General features: G+C 43.8%; 2 annotated features.

Annotated features, from left to right (window-relative positions):
- Nucleotides 32-91: an enhancer, noted in NCBI's record as "active region_26857". NCBI's record gives its function as "activates an Ori minimal core promoter by ATAC-STARR-seq in GM12878 lymphoblastoid cells {active_cell/tissue: GM12878}" and the evidence as "EXISTENCE:reporter gene assay evidence [ECO:0000049][PMID:35858748]".
- Nucleotides 3,816-3,895: an enhancer, noted in NCBI's record as "active region_26856". NCBI's record gives its function as "activates an Ori minimal core promoter by ATAC-STARR-seq in GM12878 lymphoblastoid cells {active_cell/tissue: GM12878}" and the evidence as "EXISTENCE:reporter gene assay evidence [ECO:0000049][PMID:35858748]".

The raw sequence follows: 22,364 nt of genomic DNA, 5'->3' as shown, positions 1-22,364 counted from the left end.
TTTTACATTTACGTAGTAGACCATCAGGAAATTGAATGTCCACGCTCAGGTGTGATGGAGCAGCTTGCAGTAGACCAAGGCTCCCACTAACAACAACTAGAAAAGCCAGAAAGCGAAGTCAGAAAACATCTGTTTGAAGGCAGTGAAAGCTGCTGAGGCAAGAATGGGGGGACTTGATATTCCAGAGAATGAGGAACCTTCAAGGGGTGAGCTAATGTCTGCAGTGGCTTGTATTGGTGTGTGAGGGCTTTTGCCAGTTCTGGATACAAGCATGAGGCTGAGAATTTAGACTTTGAGACCACAGAGGGCCACTGCTGGGGACACAAAACCAACACAGCGATGTAGGGGGAAATTCCAAGGACAATTGCTGAATTCAAGGCTTGTATGGGGCAAGAAACTGAAATGTAAATGGAAGGCCTCTGAAAGCAGAAGTTTTTGATAGACTTGCAAAACAAAGATTCGAGTCTGAGATCTGCTAGGGTGGTGGTGGAAGTGGGTTACTGCAGAGCCTACACCATGTTCCCAGTTGGAAACTGGAGGGCAACGGTAGCTTGAACCCTACCAGAACCTCAGCCCAGCCTTCACTCCATGCAGTCCCTGATTGGATTAAGGTTATTGGCCACTCCTGTCTTTGGTTTTGTGGAGGAAAGGGAAAAACCCTCCTGAGAGAATGATAACATTTGAAGCCTCTACAACTTTTTAGAAGCTATATTTGGCATCTCATTAAAAAGTTACTAGATAAAAAAAGAAAAAGACAATAGAAACAGACCCACAGATGAGTCAGATATTGGAGTTGCCTGATTAAAATAACTCTGATGAACATTTTCAAGAAAACAGAAAAAAAGATGAAAATTTTCACCTGAGTATTGAAATCTATAAAAATAAATCAAATGAAAACTCTAGAGGTGAAAAGTGTAATAAATGAGGCTGTGAACTCTGGATGTTAGACAAAACTAAAGACACGATTAGTGAACTGCAGGCACATCAATAGAAAATATCCAAACTGAAGCATAGAAGGAAAGAATGGAAAATACAGAAACAAGCATTAGAGACACATGGGACATGATGAAAAGTTCTACCAGGTATTCAGGTTTCTAGAAAAAGAGAGAAAGGGGCAGAAACAATATTTGAAAAGATAATAACCAAGAGTCCAAGTTTCGCAAAACTGATGAAAGACATCAAATTACAAATTCTGTAAGTTCTATGACTCCTAAGCAGGATAAATACAAAATCAGCCACACCCAGTGCATTCTAGTAGAACCATTGAAAACCAAGGAAAAAGATAAAATCTTAAAAGGTGCCAGGGCCAGGTACGGTGGCTCACGCTAGTAATCCCAGCACTTTGGGAGGCTGAGGCAGGTGGATCACCTGAGGTCAGGAGTTCGAGATGAGTTTGACGAATACGATGAAACCCCGTCTCTACTAAAAATACAAAACTTAGCTGGCTGTGGTGGAGGGCGCCTGTCATCCCAGCTACTTGGAAGGCCGAGGCAGGAGAATCGCTGGAACCTGGGAGATGCAGGTTGCAGTGAGCAAAGATTGCACCATTGCACTCCAGCCTGGGCAACAGATTGAGACTCCATCTCAAAAAAAAAAAAATTAATTTAATTTAATTAAACAAAAAAAAGGTGCCGGGGAAAAGATGCATTGCCTTTTAAGATTGTCAGCTGACTTCAGAAACAATAAATCCAGAAGACAATGGAATGGCATCTTTAATGTGCTAAAAGAAAATACACATGTTTAGTTCAACGTTCCTTAATATTTTAGGCAATAAGATTTATTGAGAACACAGAAATGGTGCAGACTTGTGCTTTTATCTTTGTCATGCATATGTGATGTCTTCTGGAATTAAGTTTAAAAAAGCAAAAGAAGTAAGTTATTCTGGCCTCCCATGGAGGTTTCTCAGATGGTAAGCCTACAGTGATGAGTAGCCACCTTCTTACTTCCAAGGTCACCTTAGTTTTTATTCACCCTTAAACTTAAAGTCACATGACTAATATTGTATATCGAATTCTTTTTAACATTAAAAGGGGTTAAAAAACAAACACGGATAAAACACAAACAGATGATCCTGAACTTAATTCAGTAGTACTAATACCACGGATTTATTTATTTATCATCTCTCTCCTTATTTTTTTATCTTGTTAGAGTAAGTGTATCACCTACCCAACTTTTTTTTTTTTTTTTGAGGCGGAGTCTTGCTCTGTCACCCAGGCTGGAGTGCAGTGGCACAATCTCAGCTCACTGCAAGCTCCGCCTTCCGGGTTCACGCCAATCTCCTGCCTCAGCCTCCCAAGTTGCTGGTACTACAGGCACCCACCACCATGCCCGGCTAATTTTTTGTATTTTTAGTAGAGGCGGGGTTTCACCATGTTAGCCAGGATGGTCTCGATCTCCTGACCTCGTCATCTGCCCGCCTTGGCCTCCCAAAGTGCTGGGATTACAGGTGTGAGCCACCGCGCCCAGCTGCACCTACCCAACTATTGAGACAAATGAACCTGGGTTAAAAAATTTGGACCAGAATATGTCAGAGATTCAAAACCAGAACACAAAATTTGAGGACTGATTACATGCTTCCAGAATGATTCTACCTGAATCACAGGTGAGAAGGCCAAGCCCTTTCTCACAGTGACTATGGCAACAGGAATTCATGACCTCCACTGAAATAAGGCATCCTAGCCCATGTTTCCTAGGAATCAGAGTAATCCTCCTATGCAATGACCTTGTAACTTCTTTTAGCTTCTATCATCTGTTTGGGTGATTGAAATTCTGGATTCCCAATCAGATGTGAACAACTTTTCCTCACCACTAACTTGATTTCTCTTTCTTCCATGTTCTTCATATCCAACTAAGATGCTGAATAAAATTACTATGTCTCCAAACAGCATGTTAAAAAATTATTTATGGGCTAGGAGCGGTGGCTCACGCCTGTAATCCCAGCACTTTGGGAGGCCAAGGTGGGCAGATCACGAGGTCAAGAGATTGAGACCATCCTGGCTAACATGGTGAAACCCTGTCTCTATTAAAATACAAAAATTAGCTGGGCGTGGTGGCGCATGCCTGTAGTCCCAGCTACTTGGGAGGCTGAGGCAGGAGAATCACTTGAACCCGGAGGCGGAGCTTGCAGTGAGCTGAGATTGCGCCACTGCACTCCAGCCTAGTGACAGAGCGAAAATCCATCTCAAATATATATAATTTATGACACTTGTTAAAGAAGGCCATTCAAAGAGGCCATGACAATATGTATAGGGACCCCTGCAACAGGTCTTGCAGTGGGGGAGAGAGACTGGACTCAACTCCAAGTCCAATTAGGACATGTGGGAATTTATAATCAAGGAACAAGAGGGGCAGAAGGGGGGGTCAGTGGATGAAAAATCAAAAGAAATATCAAGGAGAAGGGGCTTCTGGCTAAAATGACTTGATACTATTGTTGCTGAAGGCAGGCCAGGGTGACCAGATAAAAGATAAAAGGATCAGATACAAAAGATGAGGGCCTTCTCTCAACTGACTTGGCAAAGTTCTTGCTCTAACTGGATTCTACAAGAAGAGAGAGGAGCCCAAGGCTGCGCCTAATCAGAAAGGACTCAGGAGACTGACTAAAGTTTGGTCAGAAGAGAGAGCCTTTGTCAAGGATTCCTAGTAAAATAGAAAACCCACCAGACTGAAAGTGTGAGTCATCGTTCAAATTCCCCAAAAACTCCAGTCGATAACCAGTCCCCAGAAATTCCCATTTATAAATAGGAAAGTCAAGAATTAACTTGTTTTCTTTTTAAATCCACTTCCCCATGTACAAAAGAATTAGTTTACCACACAACTTAATCCAAAGCATATACGGTCATCCCTTCGTATCTGTGGGAGTCTGTTCCAGAACCACCTACAGATACCAAAATCCTCAAACGCTCAAGTCTCTGATATGTAAGGGCGTAATATTTGCATAGAACCTATGCACATCCTCCTTGTGCTTTAAGTCACTTCCAGATCACTCATAATACCTAATACGATGCCTACACACCACGTCGTTCGTGTGGATTCAGCACAGTACTCAGCATGCCGCTAATTCCAGTTTTGCTTTTGGGAACTTTATAGAATTTTTTTTTCCTGGATATTTTCCATCTGCAATTGGCTGAATCCATGGATGCAGAAGACACAGACATGGAAGGCTGACCGTATCATTCTGATCAAAGCAACTATCAATAAAGAGGAGCTGCCAAAACTACCTGTTACTTTTCACTCTTCTAACAGGAATCGATAATACTCAGCATTAAATTTTGCTATCGTGCAGAGGGTGTTTAAGGAGTTTCTGATTTTACTCCAACAGAAGTAAAGTTGGTTAAGTAGAAGTTCCTTGATTCTTTATCACCACAATACCCATGCCAGGCTCTTGGCCACTGCCTGAGAGTCAGGAAAACCACACACACAGGGGCTTTGACCACCCTTCAATTCTTCCACTGCTGCTAGGAAAATAGCATGGGATTCAGCCCACAGAGCTGCCCATGTTTTCACCTTCTTGGATCAGAATGGCATCTTTCCAAATAGGATGTTGTTCATTCACCTTGGAACTGCCATCCACAAACCTGCCAGCTTTTTCTTGGTCAACTGAGATGAGTCCCTTTGACTCTCCCTTTTGCCTTTCCCCAGTCTCTTATTAATTAACCTAATGTTTTTTATCAGCATCTGTAAGACCCATGAGGGGAAGCCAAGAGAGCAATTTGGATAAAACTTCCTAAACTGTCTTTTGGTTTTCATCAATAAAGTTATATGGAGCATCCACATTAAAAGGGGCCCCTTAACCACAGCATTTACCATGACCTGAGTAATGGGCCTCTTCAGCAAGTGAACATCCCAGTCATCAAAAAGCCAGTTCCACATCACACGCATATGAAGCATATGAGCTGCTTCATCCGGGGTGTTTCACTTGGCATTTATAGGACCTGTAATCTCCAGACAAAATCAATTCACTGAGACAGCGGCACTGCAGTAAAGAAAGAGATTTATCGATGCAAGGCCAGCCATGCCACCTGGAGAGACAGAGTGATCACTCAGATTAGTCTCCCTGAAGGTTTAGAGGTTAGGGGTTTTCAAGGATAGTTTGGTGGGCAAGGGGCTAGGAAATGGATGCTGCTGATTGCTGGGGGATACAATCATTGGGGCATGCTGAGCCCACCTTTGGGTGGGGCCACAGGACAGGCTGGGTCATGAGTCACAAGTCCACTTCTGGGTGAGGTTAGTCAATTGCTAGAATGCAAAAGTCTGAAAAATATCTCAAAAGACCAATCTGAGGTTCTATAATAGTGATGTTAGCTATAGGAGTAATTGGGGAAGTTACAAATCATGTGACCTGAGAACAATGCCTGGCTATCGTTTAACTATGCCTACATCTTAGCAGAATTCAAGCCCATCTCATAAACCTAACCTGGTAGTCTTTCATTAGTTTTAGAAAGGTGGCTTAATTTTGGAAAGGCCCATTATCATCCTTGCTTTAAGGTTAAACTGTAAACTAAATTCTTCCCAAAATTAGCTTGGCCTACACCCAGGAATGACTGAGGACAGCTTGGAAGTCAGAAGCAAGATGGAGTCAACTACGTCAGATTTCTCTTACTCTTATAATTTTGCAAAGGTGGTTTTAGGGAGAATCGAACAATTCCTCTTTACAGGGTAAGCAGAACTTACAGTGGCTTTTATCCAGTCCAGCAAGCTGTATTCCATTGGGAATAACCTGCTGTGTGTCTGCATCCCATACAACCATCTGTGATTGTTCTATAGTGAGCTGTGGGTTCGGCATCAACTCAAAATGCTCTTCCACCCGGCATCATTGAAAACTAAAGAAAGTGCCCCCAAATTAGTTACTCTCACAATCCATTTTAGTAAATGTTCTTCAGGAAGCCGGTGATGCCAATCCACAACACGAAGCAATTCCTCCACACTATACCTTCTGGTTTCAGTAGTTTCTTGGTTTTGCTTTTCCCCCACATTGACTACCTTAGTAACCACAGGCCTTAGAGGTACTTTCGGTTGTCCCTGAATAATTTTCCCTTTGGAAGTAGCTTTGAGGCTGGTGGCCAGACCTCAGACTCAACTAAAATGTGAGCTTGATTTAGTATCAAGGTCCCCGCCAGCACTCTCTTTTAATTTCATTTTAGCTGTTTCAGATAATAATTACCTAGGAAATGAGTATTTGTCATTTTCTTATTAGCTTGCATTTTTTTCTCCCCCCTTTCCTCTGTCTCTTTCTTTTCTTTTTTCTTTTCTTTTTTTTTTTTGAAACGGAGTCTCACTCTGTCACCAGGCTGGAGTGCAGTGGCGTGATCTTGGTTCACTGAAACCTCTGCCTCTTGGGCTCAAGCGATTCTCCTGCCTCAGCCTCCTGAGTAGGTGGGACTACAGGTGCCCGCCACCACACCTGGCTAATTTTTTGTAGTTTTAGTAGAGACGGGGTCTCACCATGTTAGCCAGGATGGTGTCGATCTCCTGACCTCATGATCCGCCCGCCTCGGCCTCCCAAAGTGCTGGGATTACAGGCATGAGCCACTACGCCCGGCCTCTTTTCTTTTTTCTTTCCGGACAAGGTCTCACTCTGTTGCCCAGGCTGGAGTGCAGTGCCATGAGCATGGCTCACTGCGGCCTTGAACTCCTGGACTCCAGAGGTCCTCTCACCTCAGACTCCCTAGTAGCTGGAACTACAAGTGCATGCCACCATGCCTGACTAGCTTGCATTTCTTTATGCTCCCAGTGAACCAACTCCCTGGAAGTTAGATCCATCCCTGTGTTTTGCTAACTTTTATCTTTGGTAGCTTATTGCAGCACAGCTGCTACTCCACGCTTATGGAGCCATCCAGGAATCAAAGCTTCCTCATCCCCCACCCTTTTATCCTTTTTCTTCCCAAACCACATGTTTCTGTGAACACCAAGTCCTATTTTTGACACCAATTCTGAGAATATAGGGAAAAAACAAATTCAGTTTCTCCTAGAGCCTCTCTCAACAATCAACACAGAAGACGTCTGTGACCACACCAATCAAGCAGTCAGTTCTGCAGGAGACACCAGTTGGCTGTCCCCTAATTCATTCAATTCTTGCACTTATCTACCTGGAGATGGCATCAGATCCCACGAGTTGAGGGCTCAGACTCCAAGACTGCCCCCATCATTTATAATGCCAGTTCACAAGCCCCAGGTTGTTTTACCTGTGCTTCTGACCAAGCGGCTCTAAACTGAGGTTCCCACAACCCCCTCCTTAGGTTTAATTATTTTGCTAGAGCATCTCACAGAACTCAGGGAGACACACACTTACATTTGCTGATTTATTATAAAGGATATTACATGGATACTGATGAACACCAGACGACCAGATGGATTGGATAAGAAATGTGGGAAGGGGTGCAGTGCTTCCTTGACCTCTCTGGGCCCTCCACCCTTCAGGAACCTTCATGTGTTCAGCTATCTGGACACTCTGAACCTGGTTCTGTTGGGTTTTTAGAGAAACTGCATTACACAGTCATGATTGATTAAATCGTTGGCCTTTGGTGATCAACTTCGCCTCCAGTCCTGTTGCCTTCCCCCAAGACTGGGGAAGTGGGGCTGTAAAGTCTCAACTTTTTAATTAGGCCTTGGTGTTTCCTGTGACCAGCCCTATCCTGATGCTACTAGGAGCTGCCAGCCATCAGCCAACTCATTACCATAAAAATACATCACTTTGGAGATTCCAAGGATTTTAGGAGTTGTATACCAGGAAATGGGGACAAAGACCAAATATGTATTTCACAATATCACACCATAGCAACAAAAACAAACAAATCAGGAAGAATTCTTCATCTCAAGCCAGGCGCAGTGGCTCAAGCCTATAATCCCAGCACTTTGGGAGGCCGAGGCAGGCGGATCACGAGGTCAGGAGATCGAGACCATCCTGGCTAACACGGTGAAACCCCGTCTCTACTAAAAATACAAAAAAATAGCCGGGTGTGGTGGCAGGCGCCTGTAGTCCCAGCTACTCGGGAGGCTGAGGCAGTAGAATGGCGTGAACCCGGGAGGCAAAGTTTGCAGTGAGCCGAGATCGTGCCACTGCACTCCAGCCTGGGTGACAGAGTGAGACTCTGTCTCAAAAAAAAAAAAAAAAAAAAAAATTTGCTATTGGAGCCATTACATTTCAGTTTTGGGAATAAGATAAAGGAGGCAAGATAATAAAATATAGCCAGAACAGTAAAAGCTGAATTATTGGGTCAGGAGTATGTACATTGTGATTTTTTTCTTCTTTTTTTGGAGACGGAGTCTAGCACTTGTCCCCCAGGCTGGAGGGCAATGGTGTGATCTCGGCTCACTGCAACCTCTGCCTCCCAGGTTCAAGCAATTTCCTGCCTCAGCCTCCCAATTAGCTAGGACTACAGGCACCCACCACCATGCCTGGCTAATTTTTGTATTTTTAGTAGAGATGGAGTTTCACCATGTTGGCCAGGCTGGTCTTGAACTCCTGACCTCAAGTGATCCGCCTGCCTCAGTCTCCTAAAGTGCTGGGATTACAGGCATGAGCCACCATGCTCGGCCTACATTGTGATTTTGATAGATATTGCCCTTCAAGGAAATGTACCAATTTAACCTCCTACAAGTAATGCGTGAGGGTGCTTTTTCCATATTTCCTTGTCATTACAGCATGTTATCAAATTTTTTCCAGCTTGATAAGTAAAAAGTAGTATCTTGGTGTAGTTTTAATTTATATTTATCTCCTTATGAGTGAAGTTAAGTAATTTTTCATGTTTATGAATTATTTCTATTTCCTTTTCAGTGAATCATATTTTCTTAGTCTTTGCCCAGTTTTCTATTTTGTTTTTGTCTTATTGAATTATAAGAGCTCTTTACATATTAAAGAGATTTATCTATAATGTAAGTTGGCAATATTTCCCCCCATTTTGCCATTTGTCTTTTGCCTTTGCTTATAATTTTTAAACACGGATTTTTCAAAATGTAAAATTTATCTTTTGTTTTGTTTTACGGCTTCTGGATATTGTCTAAGTTAAAAAAAAAAGTCTTTCTTCTCTTCTTCTAGAATATTTGTGGTGAAGCGGCATAGTTGTCTGTGGTAAATACCTGGGATTCATCGTCTCACATCAAGAAGATTGAGGACACGGACACACACAAGGAGTGAGTATAGGAGCAGAGGTTTAACAGGCAAAAGAAAGAAAAAGCCCCTCTCTCTCCCTGGAGAGAAAGAGAGGCTCCTGAAAGGAAAAAACCAGCCTGTGGCGTATAACACCAGATTTTATAGGCAGGCTTGAGGAGTGGTGTCTGATTTATATAGAGCCCACAGATTGGTTCAACAAGGTGTGACAATTACATAGCATGCGGGGAAGGCTGGTTGTCCCACCCTAATCTTATTATGCAAATGGAGTCTTTGCCTGGCCAGCTCCATATTGTCTTCTCCTTGCTGTACACGTGGTTTGGCAAAGACAGGGAAAGATGGAACTGTCATTTTGAACATGCCTAGTCCCAGGTACCTTTTCCCTATTGGCACAACTGCCAGCATTCACCTGTGCAAGCTTCCAGCTTACTTGTCTATGTCTGCAGCTCAATTTTCCAGGCCGCTCTTTGTTAGAAAAGAAAATGATTTTAGGGCTGTTTTTCATTAAAAGGAAAACCTTACTGAGGACTCCCATACCCTCACTATCTGCCTGAATAATGTCTTCTTAACTCCCCTATCAGTGGTTTCATTTTTTACACTACAATCTTTGATTCATCTGGAATTCATCCTGGTGAACTGTGTGAGATATGGATCAAACTTTGCTTTTACCCAGATAGTTATTCAGTTGTCTCTCTGCTATTTGCTGCTGTAGTTGTTTTGAGAAAGAATCTCACTCTGTTGCCCAGACAAGAGTGCAGTGGCACAATCATAGCTCACTGCAACCTCTGCCTGCTGGGCTTAAGCAATCCTTCTATTTCAGCCTCCTGAGTAGCTGGGACTATAGGTGTATACCACCACACCTGGCTTTTTTTTTTTTTTTTTTTTTTTTTTTTGAGATGGAGTCTCACTCTGTCACCCAGGCTGGAGTGCAGTGGTGTGATCTCGGCTCACTGCAACCTCTGCCTTCCGAGTTCAAGCGATTCTCGTGCTTCAGCCTCCTGAGTATCTGGGACTACAGGCATGCCTGACCGTGCCTGGCTAATTTTTGTATTTTTAGTAGAGATGAGGTTTCACCATGTTGGCCAGGCTGGTTTCAAACTCCTGACCTCAAGTGATCCACCCGCCTCAGCCTCCCAAAGTGCTGGGATTACAGGTGTGAGTCACCACTCCCAGCTGATTTTTGTATTTTTTGTAGAGATGGGGTTTCACCATGGTGCCCAGACTGGTCTCAAACTCATAAGCTCAAGTCATCTTCCCACTTTGGCCTCCCAAAGTGCTGGGATTACAAGCATGAGCCACTGCACCCAGCCTACACTCTTTATCAAATAGACCAACTTTTCTCCATTGATTTAAGATGCCACCTTTATCATATACCAAATGTCCTGCATGCATCATAACCCTCCCTATCCCAGGATTAAGAATGAATGCAAATTGTTCCATTAGAAAAAGTGAAGGCTGGGTGTGGTGGATCACACCTGTAATCCCAGCACTTTGGGAGGCCAAGGCTGGCAGATCACTGAGGTCAGGAGTTTGAGACCAGTCTAGCCAACATGGTGAAACCCCATCTCTACTAAAAATACAAAAATTAGCCAGGCATGGTGGCATGCTCCTGTAATCCTAGCTACTCAGGAGGCTGAGGCAGGAGAACCGCTTGAACCCAGGAGACAGAGGTTGCAGTGAGCCGAGATCACGCCACTGCACTCCAGCCTGGGCAACAGAAGGAGACTCTGTCTCAAAACAATAAATAAATAAAAATAGAAACAAAAACTTACAAGTCCATAAAACAGTGATTACCCTTATTACATGCAGTACACTCTGATTATTTTTATTCAATTACATCTTCTTTAAAAAATGCTACTTGACAACTGTCTTAGTCTGTTTACCACAGACTAGATAATTTATAACATACCATAGAGTGGGTAATTTGTAGAGAAAAGAGATTGATTTGGTTCATGTTTCTAGAGCCTAAGAAGTCTAAGAAATACCACCAGCATCTTCTCGGCACCTGGCAAGGGCCTTCATGCTGTGTCGTCCCATGACGGAGGGTGGAAGGGCAAGTGAGTGCGAGAGAGAAGGAGTGGGCTGAACTCACTCTTATAACAACCTACTCTTGCAATAACAAACCCACTCCCGCAACAATGACGTTAACTCATTGATGAGAGTAGAGCCCTCGTGGCCTAATCACCTGGTAACAGTCCCACTCTCTATATTGTTACAATGGCAATGGCATTTCAACACGAGTTTTGGAGGGGTCATTTAACCATAGTAAGAACCACCCCACCGATTTCAAGTCTGCGAGTAAATGGTTAACGCAACCCTTTCTCCTTCTGCATAAGAATGTAACCATTGTTTAACTTTCTAGACCTTTCCTTTTGAAACCTGATGAAGGTAGAATGTGAGCTTTGTTATTAAGGGACATTGTTTATGATTCAATAACCCCTGGCTGATAAATTGCACCTGGGCTAGGAGGAACTATAAGTATATTATAGAGACCTAATGGGGACTCCACACATCAGATGTCCCTGCATGTACTAACTTTTACAATTAAGTATGTACTGCGCAGATACTAGGAAGCTATGGTATTCTTACAAGAGCTATGCCTGTGTAGGTCATGAGACTTCCAAGTCAGGACGGCTCTTGAACCCATCTGATGTGAGTCTCATTTCCTTGAACCTGTGCCACATCACCTGGGGTGCAGGATACAGGAGAACACCTGGAGGACAGTGTGGATGTCTCCATAGACTGCTGTAATGATTGCTACTGTGGAAGAATACTCCACACTGCCCTGTGGTCTGTTTCAGGAAATTTGGGCTGCTATAACAAAAATACCTTAAACTGAGGAATTTATAAACAACAGGAACATATTTATCACAGTTCTGGAAGCTGAGAAGTATAAGATCAAGGCATTGGCAGATTTGTTGTCTGGTGAGGGCCCACTTCCTAATTCACAGATCGCGTCTTCTCTCTGAGTCTTCATGTGATGGAAGGGGTGAGAGGTCTCTCTGTGGCCTCTTTTATAAGGGCACTAATCGCATTCATGAGAGCTCTGCCTAGTCTCTCCCAAAGGCCCTACCTCCCAGCATCATCACCTTGGGGGTTAGGCTTCAACATATGAATTTTGGGAGAACTCAAACATTCAGACCATGTCACTGTCCCATATCCTTCTACGTGAATTTAATGCCATATATGGCTATGACAGTCTTGTGAGTCAGACTGTTTAGCTGACCCACTTGTTAACATCAGAAGACACCTTGGAGGATGTCCAAAGCCTAATAGTCCATGACCTATGGTTAGAAAAACACTGTCTGGCTAAATGTGTATATATGAGGGGCCTACAAAAAGTTCATGGACAATGTATTATTACAAAAAAAGCTATACATAAATTTCAAAAATTTTTTGCACCAAAATAAACTTGCACTAACTTGTTATAACATATCTGAACAGGATCTAGTTTGAGGCACTAAGAAGGATAAGACATCAGTTTTAAAAGAGACCCTATCAGGGCAACATTAATTCTGCTAAAATTGAAGCAAGAACAAACATCAAGTTTGTAGTGAAGCTTGGGTGGAAGAATGGTGAAATCATTGAACCTTTACAAAAAGTTTATGGCAACAATGGGAAAATCAACAGTTTACAAATGGATAACTCATTTTAAGAAGGTACCAAATGATACTGAAGATGAAGCCTGCAGTGGCAGACCATCCACTTTAATTTATGAGGATAACGTTCATCTTGTTTGTGCCCTAATTGAAGGGGACCAACAATAACAGCAGAAACAACAGCCGTGGGCATCTCAATTGATTCAGCTTACACAATCCTGATGGAAAAATCAAAGTTGAGCAAACTTTCCACTCAATCAGTGCCAAAACTATTGCAACCAGATCAGCTACAGACAAGAGCAGAGCTTTCAATGGAAATTTTAAACAATTAGGATCAAGATTCTGAAGCATTTCTTTGAATGATGGTAACAGGAGATGAAACATGCCTTTGCCAGTACAATCCTGAAGACAAAGCACAATCAAAGCAGTGGCTACCAAGAGGTGAAAGTGGTCCAGTCACAGCAAAAGCAGACTGGTCAAGAGCAAATGTCATGGCAACAGTTTTTTTGGATGCTCAAGGCATTTTGCTTGTTGACTTTTTGGAAAGCCAAAGAACAATATCATTTTATTATGAGTGTATTTTGAAAAAGTTAGCCAAAGCTTTAGTAAAAAAGCACCCAGGAAACCTTCACCAGAGTCCTTCCTCACCACGACAATGCTCCTGCTCCTTCCTCTTATTAAACAAGGGCAATTTTGTGGAGTTTCTGTGAGAGATCATTAGGCATTCACCTTACAGAACTGATTTGGCTCCTTCTGACTTCGTTTTGTTTCCTAATGTTTAGGAAGATCTTTAAGATCTTTAAAGGACACCCATCTTTCTTCATTTAATAATGTGAAAAAGACTGCATTGACATGGTTAGATTCCCAGGACCCTCAGTTCTTAACGATGGAATGAATGGCTTACAAAAGTGTCTTACAAAAGTGTCTTGAATTTGATGGAGCTGATATTGAGAAATAAAGTTTATTTTAAAAATTTTTATCTTTTAATTCCATTTTTCCAGGAACTTTTTGAAGTCCCCTCATATACATAGAAGCTATAGTGTTAGAGTACAAGACATGCAGTTTTTAGATTTTCTACATACTACTGTCAAAGAACAAAATTACAACACATTTAAAAATTGTATTGGGTTTATTGCAATTCTAGAATCAGGCAACACTTCATTCCATAAAATAGAATAAATCTTCTAATGAGTTGAGCAGAAGATGTTATAGGCAGAGAAGAGGTTGTAGGCAGAGAAGAGCTGCAGAAAGCAGAAGCAAAGAACAAATAGTGTATTCGTTGTTTCAAAGCTACTTTTCCTATAAGGCAGGGACAGGGAGACAGATCAGAGAAAATAGCTGATTAGTTAACATCAGGTTACTTCAGGCTACTTCTCCTGCATAAAGATTGAGGCAGAGGGAATTACATTATCATGCCAATTGAAGATTAAGCTGGTTTGCGAAGATCAGATAACAACTGAGTTTGGGTTTCGTGACTCAATTTTTATTTTTTTGGTTTGGTGACTCCATTTTGATTGATTTTTAGTCTGTCCTGTTGGGGCCTAGTGCAGAGCTTAGTCAAAAACAATTACTTCCTGTCGGGTGTGATGGCTCATGCCCATAATCCCAGCAGTTTGGGAGGTCGAGGCAGGCAGATCACTTGAGATCAGGAGTTCAAGACCAGCTTGACCAACATGGTGAAACCCCGTCTCTACTAAAAATACAAAAATTAGCCAGGTGTGGTGGTGCATCCCTGTAATCCCAGCTACTCAGGAGGCTGAAGCAGGAGAATCACTTGAACCCAGGTGACAGAATTTGCAGTGAGCCAAGATCATGCCACTGCACACCAGCCTGGATGACAGAGTAAGACTTCATTAAAAAACAAAAATTACCTCATATAACTTTGATTTAATTCTACCTTATAATTATTCAAAGTATATTAAATTATACTTTCAACTGCACTGTTATAAGAATTTCCATTTCCCCAAATCCTCACCAACACTTAAAATGATCAATGTTTAATTTTTCCCATAATCTCTGGCTCTGAAATAAGTTGACTTGTTCTAAAGGAATTTGGAAACCTTTTCTCCAGGGAATTGGATTTCCAGGGAATAGGATTTTTTAAAAATCTCTTTGCCTTCCTTCCATCCTCCAATTTGTTCCTCAAAATGACCTCATGTGCCTTACATGGTAGACAATAAATAGAAGTTGTTGAATTGAAAATGTAAGCTTTATTTGCTGGAATGTGAGTAAACCAATTTATCTGAACTGTAAAATTTTTTGTAGAAGAGGAACAGTAGGCAAGATGAATTAAGTAAGAGATTTCAGTTATACATAGCTTTGGCTGAGGTAAGAAGAATGAAAATACATATAGATGCAATGCAATCTCTATCAAAATACCAGCTGCCTTTTTCAGAGAAATTGACAGGCTGATCCTAAAATCCATATGGAAATGCAACAGACTCAGAATAGTCAGAACAATCTTGTAAAGGAACAAAGAACAAAAGAATCTTGAAAAAGGACACTTCCCAAGTTCAAAATTTACTGCAAAGCTACATTAATCAATACAGTACCAGACTGGTGTTAGAATAGGGATACAGAGAAATGGAAGAGAATTGAAATAAACCTTCACATTTATGGTCAATTGATTTTCAACAAAGTTGCCAACACAGTTCAATAAAGGAAAGAACCATCTTTCCAACAAATGGTTCTGGGCTACCTGGATAGCCATATGCAAAAGATTGAAGTTGAACCCTACCTCATATCATATATAAAAAATTAACTCAAGATGGATTATAGAACTAAATAAAAGAGTTAAAACTATAAAACTCTTAGAAGAAAACAAATGAGTAAATCTTCATGATCTTGGGTAAGGAAATAGTTTCTTAGCTACGGCACCAAAAGTACAAATGACAAAAGAAAAATTAGGCAAGTTGGACTTTATCAAAATTTAAAACTTTTGTGCTTCTAAAGACATCATCAAGAAAATGAGAACACAGGCTGCATGCTGTGGCTCATGCCTGTGATTCCAACACTTTGAGAGGCTGAGGTGAGAGGATCACTTGAGCCCAGGAGTTTGAGACGAGCTTGAGCAACATAGTGAGATCCCATCTCTACAAAAAAATACAAAAATTAGCCAGCTGTGGTGGTGTATGCCTGTACTCCCAGCTACCTTGGAGGCTGAAGTGGGAGGATTGCTTAAACCCAGGAGGTTGAGGCTGCTGTGAGCCATGATTATGCCACTGCACTCCAGCCTAGGCACAGAGCAAGACCCTGTCTCAAAAAAAAATGTGAAGACAATTCGCTCTATGGGAAAAAATATTTGCAAATCATGTATCTTAGCAGGGACTTAGATCCAGAATATACAAAGAACTCTAAAGATCAAATAGGCTGGGTGCAGTGGCTCATGCCTGTAATCCCAGCACTTTGGGAGGCTGAGGCAGGTGGATCACCTGAGGTCAGGAGTTCGAGACCAGCCTGGGCAACATAGTGCAACCCCGTCTCTACTAATAATACAAAAATTAGCTAGGTGTGGTGGGATGCACCTGTAATCCCAGCTGCTCAGGAGGCTGAAGTAGGAGAATTGCTTGAACCTGGGAAGTGGAGGTTGCAGTGAGTTTAGATCGTGCCATTGCACTCCAGCCTGGTCGACAAGAGTGAAACTCCATCTCAAAAATAAAAATGAAGATCAAATAATAAAAAGACAACCCAACTTTTTTAATATTCAAAGGATCTGAATAGACATTTCTCTATAGAAGACAATGGCCAACAAGCACATAAAAAGATGCTCAACATCATTAGCCATTAAGAAATTGGGAATCAAAATCACAATGAAATAACATTTTGCACTCCTTAGAATGGTCAGAATAAAAAGGAAAGGCGTAGGTGAAAATTTGGAGAAATCAGAATCCTTAAACATTGCTGGTAAGAACAAAATGATACAGCTGCTATGAAAAACAGTTTGGCGTTTCTTCCAAAGGTTAAACTTAGAGTTACCATATGACCCACCAATTCCACTCGTAGTCATATGCCCCAGAGAATTGAAAACTTATGTTCTAACACAAAAACTTATACACTAATGTTCACGGCAGCATTATTCATAATAGTTAAAAAGTGAAAACTATCCAAATGCTCATTAACTGATTAATAGAATGCAATAATATTCCATGTAATGGAATATTACTCCACTGAAATTCCATATAATGGAATATTACTCCATTATTCTTTTCCATACAATGGAATATTGTTTGGCAATAAAAAGGTATGAAGTACTGACACATTACAACATGAATTAACCTTTAAAACAGTAGAAGAAGCCAACCAAAAGAGACCACATTTTATATAATTCCATTCTTATGCAATGTTCAGGCTAGGCAAATCCATAGAAACAGAAAGTAGATTAGTGGTGCCAGGGACTGGGGGAGGTAATGGTGAGTGTGGGATGGAAAATTTCTAGATAATTAGTAATATTTTCATTTCTATTGAGTTTGCACAACATATTTTGGAAATAGAATTGGATCTGCTTGAGGGAGCACCTTGTCATTCCCTCAGTAAAGCCTCCTCCTCTTCAGTACACAAGGCCTAGCAATTTTCAAAGAAAGGAGATAAGTTACACTTAATAACTGAAACTCCACTGAACATATGCTGATTAACATGTCCCTTAGAAAGCAGAGGGCACTTCAGACTTCTCCGGTATCCAGGGCCCACTATTATCAGTTGCGTTGCACTGAACCAGTTCCCCTATTCATCCTCTACATGTATCAACCCTGAAGTCCTGACCACGTTTCCATTGCACAGTTCTTGGTGTTTTGCTCTCTCTCTTTTTGCTCTGTCTACAGTCAAATCCAGTTTGTCATTTCACACCTGGGTTCATTCCATAAGCTCTTGATCGTGTATGGGATCCTTGAGGTGTCGCTTTTCTGGTCGGAAACCTGTGGCTCATGGCACCTTTGGCTGAGTTTTGCTCAAGCCCACGGGGCTCTTTCTGCCCACTCGGCCTGACCGGCTGCACTCAGCTCATGCCAGCAGCCTGGATCCCATGCCTCCAAGAAGACTGCAAGTCAGGTGTGGAGCGGCAAGGGGTGTATGAGTGAGTATGGGGTCCGGACACTGCACAGTCAGATATGCTGGCTGCTGCCACAGGATGGGCAGCTCCAGGCGCTGGCATGGGCACTGGCTCTCTGCAAAGCTGCAGCTGGACCAGGGGCCCTGTAAGCAGCTTCCCTGGCTGGCACTGGGGAATGAAGTGGCACCTAGAAGCTTGGAGATGCCAGGAACCACAGGGCCCCAAAGAGGGAGTCACAGGTCTGGGCTCCCTGAAGGTCCGCAGCTCTTCTCTCCTTTTCGCCCACAATGTGGCGAGCAAGGGGCATATTTCAGTCTTGTTTGTGTTAGAGCTCTTTTAGCCCTGCCATACAATGGGTCCTAAGTACTTGTCCTGTGACCAGAAGAATGAGGTACACCAACAAGTGGAGGGTAAGCAAAATGAGAGGAGCTTTATTGAGCAATAGAACAGCCCAGCCTCCCACAGTGGGCAGCTCCTTTCCACAGCCAGGGTGTCCCAATGAGTGTTCAGCTCCTAGCAGAGAGGAGACTCTGGAGTGAGAAGCTCCTCTCTGCAGACAGGTTGTCCCATCGTTTCTGCAGCTCTCAGCAGAGAGGAGGCCCTAGAGTGGGTTGCTCCTCTCTACAGGTAGGTCATCCCATTGTCTTCCCAGCTCTCAGCAGAGAGGAGGCTCTGGAGTAGGTTGCCGCTCTCTGCAGGCAGGTTGTCCTGTCATCTTCCCAGCTCTCAGCAGAGAGAAGGAGTGGGTTACTCCTCTCTGCAGCTGGTCATCCCAACATCTGCTTGAGTCTCAGCAGAGAGGAGGCCCTGGAGTGGGTAGCTCCTCTTTGCAGCTGGTCATCCCAACATCTGCTTGAGTCTCAGCAGAGAGGAGGCCCTGGGGAGGGTAGCTCCTCTCTGCAGCTGGTCGTCCTGACATTTTTCTGCCCTCTGCTCTGCTCTAGCTGAGCCCAGGGCTTTTATGAGCCTCAGAGGGGAGGAAATGCATGCCAATTGGTCCATGGGCGGCCATGAGTGGGCCCAGAAAAGGCACAACAGCCCCCACTCCAGTCCATGGGGACTGGCAGCCCAGTCCCCAGCCTTCAGACCCTCCCTGGCCTGAAGGTGGGGCCTCACTGGAGACCTGCCGCCTTCCACCCAGGAGCCTGTCTGCCCCCTGCTGCTGTCCATGGAGCCCAGGCTGTTCATGCCAAGGGACACCTGCAGGCTAGTACCAAACCTCCCTCAATCCCCACCTTGGCTTCCCCACAGCAATGCTTCTTGGTGCCCAAAGTCCAGAGGGAGCTGAGGCAGCTTGGGGGGCTGGCATGTCAGTGGTGCCCCAAGAACCCCAGCCAGGCTGTGACAGTGCCCGGGCTTGGCCCCACATTGCTCCAAGATTGAAGCAGGTGCTGACAGCAGGTAGAATACAGGCAGTGGGAGCAGGAACTTCTGAGCCTGCAAGGGTCAGAGGGGCCTTCCCAGGCCCCAAGAGCACATGGAGGCCTGGGTCCACAGCCCCAACTTGGGTGGCTGCAGCTGTGCCCAGGAGGGCAGGACTGCTGCCTGCTCCTGGCTCCTGCCAGCTCCTTGAATCCTGGGGCTGGGGATCCAGGTCCTCACTGGGCCCAGGCCAGTGTCTGGAGCAGGGGCAACACTGCCATGAGCTTCCCCTGTTTCTCCGGTGCTCAGAGGAGGCCCAGGGTGGAGTGGATCATGGGCCCCAGGCCTGGCTATCAGGAGCGTCAGGCTCAGCGCTCACCCCAACATGGGGTAGATCCCAGGGAAGCAGCCCCAGGCAGCCCTGCACAGAGCTTCCTCCTAAGGCACAGGAACCCAGCACCTTTGATGGAGTGGGCCAGGTCCCTGAAGTGGGTGCCATTCTCACTTCTTGCCCCAGGCCCCCGAAGTGTGGCCCCAGCTCTGCACACTGGGCCCAGCCCCTATGTTCCATGTGCAAGTACAGCACTGCCCTGGGCCAGCTCCACCTCAAGGGTCCTCTCTGCCCAACTGCGCTGCTCCCCTGCTCAGGAGCAACCTGGCCCAGCCCCATCATGGTGGCCCCTAGGGCAGCAGGCTGCAGGGAGAATGTCTGTTTCCTCCCCAAACCCTCCCTGCAGTGGCCAGCATGATGACAGTGGCCACTCCAGATGGCCTATCACTGCCCTCAATTATATGCCCTGCATCTGGCTTCTCCATGCATCTCATGGCTAAGCTCGTCATCCTGGAATTGACTCTCACAAACTGGGCAAGCAATATCCAGGATCCTACAACCCTACTCTTCAAAATCTCACAAAAGTAGGACTAGTTAATTAGTATAAGTGAAGCTATGCAAAGAACATTTCTTGGGTGGAGGAGGCGATCAGGAAAAATGGATAATAATGATAGGCAGCAAGCAGCTACTGAGCACTTTCCATTTGCAATCTCACTGAATGCTTACAACAATGCACACAGGTAGGGTCATTATTATCTCTGTTGAGGCAGAGCAGAAAGGAACTCACCCAGGTGGCCCACCTCCCTGTTGAAGCAGTGTGTTTAGGACCTGTACCTTCAAGCTCCACATGTGATGGTGCTAGAGCTGGTCCAGGGATGGGCTTTGGGGTTTGGAAAGGATGGGGCCAACAGCCTCATCTGGGCAGACCTTCTGGGGTCAGAGATGTATTTGAAACCAGTCCAATTTTCCCATATAACTGATGTTTTTGGTCTCTTTTAAATAAGCATACAAGTTGACCCTCCCAGTCTTAAAATTTAAGAAAGTTACAGTTGTCTTATCTGAGTTCCTTTCTCAGGAAACCAACCACCAGGCCTCCTGGACAGTGTCAACAAACCAAAACTTACCAGATCCCCACCTCTGGACAATGAGATGCCAGACCTCTAACCTGTCGTGTTTGCCTAACAGACCACCTGCTGCCTGTTGATGGATTCCCCCTTCCTTATCATTTCTTAATTCCTGTTTTCTTGCATGTAGTTACATCTTTTTCCTGCTATATAAATCCCCTATTTCAGTTGGTCAGGGGAATGGATTTGAGACTGATTGCCCATCTCCTCGGCTATAGCACCTAATTAAAGCCTTCTTCTTTGGCAATACCTGTTGTCTCAGTGATTGGCTTTCTGTGCAGTGAGCAGCAGGATGTAGACCAAGCTTGTACAACCCACTTTATTTAGTTGTTGTTGTTGCTGTTGTTGTTCTATTTTGTTTTGTTTTAGGCCTTTAACAGCCTGAAGCCATGGTTTTTAGTTTCTGTCTCCAGGGATGAGGAAGGGGCTTTACTGGCCCAACCAGAAAAAAAACTAAGAACCCATGACTGTATGTTTTCCCTTGGACACCCCTGACCTAGACCAAACCCCTGGCATTTCAGTAACATATTCTGTCACTCTTCCCTTCCCTGTCCACCTACAAAAGGCCTCACTAACCGTCTCTCAAAGCTCTGCCCAGAACCTGTGCTCAACACCTGGGCTGCACCCTCGTTCTTACAACATTCACAAATTGCCCTTATATTTTATGCATACGTGTCTAGTTTCTTCACCTAGACATAAGGACATAGGGACCAGATCATAGGTTTATTTGTGCTGTATAACAATATACTGTAATAAAAGTTATGTGAATGTGCTCCCTCTCTCTCTCAAAATACCTTATATCTTACTCAACTGTACTCACCTGTTTTTAGAATGTGGGTAACTAAAACCTTGGAAAGTGAAACATGGATAAAGGAGAACTACTGTCCTTTCCTTATAGGGTTAAAACCAAGGAAACTTCCTTATCCTGAGAGCTAACCTAGCCCTTTCAGGGATTTAGTTTCATGTCTCTCTTCTGATTTCTTAGAGGGTCAGATAAACAACTTAGTTTGTGTTTGGTGATGTGGAACTTTAGCATGAGTGACTCCATTTTGCTTGTCTGTTGGGGTCTAGCACAGAAGTTCAGTCCAAACTGACGGCCTCCCATAAATTTTTTTTAATGCCCTGCAGTGTCTGAAGGCTAGTCATCAATAACTGAATCATGTTACATTCAGCTCAAGCAATTAAGGTGGTGGTCAGGTGCATTTAGCAAAACCTAACAACTATCATTTCAGAAAATACAGGTTTTTTTGTTTGTTTGTTTTTGTTTCTTTCCCAGAGGTGTGCAGTCCCTCTGGAGAAAGCATGTGTGCTGCAGGGAAAACCATGCACGGTGGACAGCATGGCCTTCCACCTGCATCACAGTCACATTCTGATTCCAGGCAGCTGTTTCACAATTCTGTAACCAACGGTAGGAAAAATAGGCTTACCCTCTACCTGCCACTCATTTCAACATTCCTTCACACCACATGACTCCACATGAATTTGTGCTTCTTGACTCCTCTCTGTTTGTTTTTTGTTTTTGTTTTTTGAGACACGGTCTCACTCTCTCACTCAAGCTGGAGTGCAGTGGTGTGATCTTGCTCACTGCAACCGCCATCTCCTGGGCTCAGGTGATTCTCATGCCTTAGCCTCTGAGTAGCTGAGACCACAGGTGCAGGCCACCATGCCTGGCTTTTTTTTTTTTTTTTTTTTTTTTGTATTTTTTGGTCAAGACAGGGTTTCGCCAAATTTCCCAGGCTGGTCTTGAACTCCGGAGCTCAAGCAATCCACCCATCTCAGCTTCCCAAAGGGCTAGGAT

This window comes from Homo sapiens, chromosome 7 (assembly GCF_000001405.40).
Source record: "Homo sapiens chromosome 7, GRCh38.p14 Primary Assembly".
Classification (NCBI taxonomy): Eukaryota; Metazoa; Chordata; class Mammalia; order Primates; family Hominidae; genus Homo; species Homo sapiens.
This window is presented reverse-complemented; position numbering and strand designations above follow the sequence as displayed.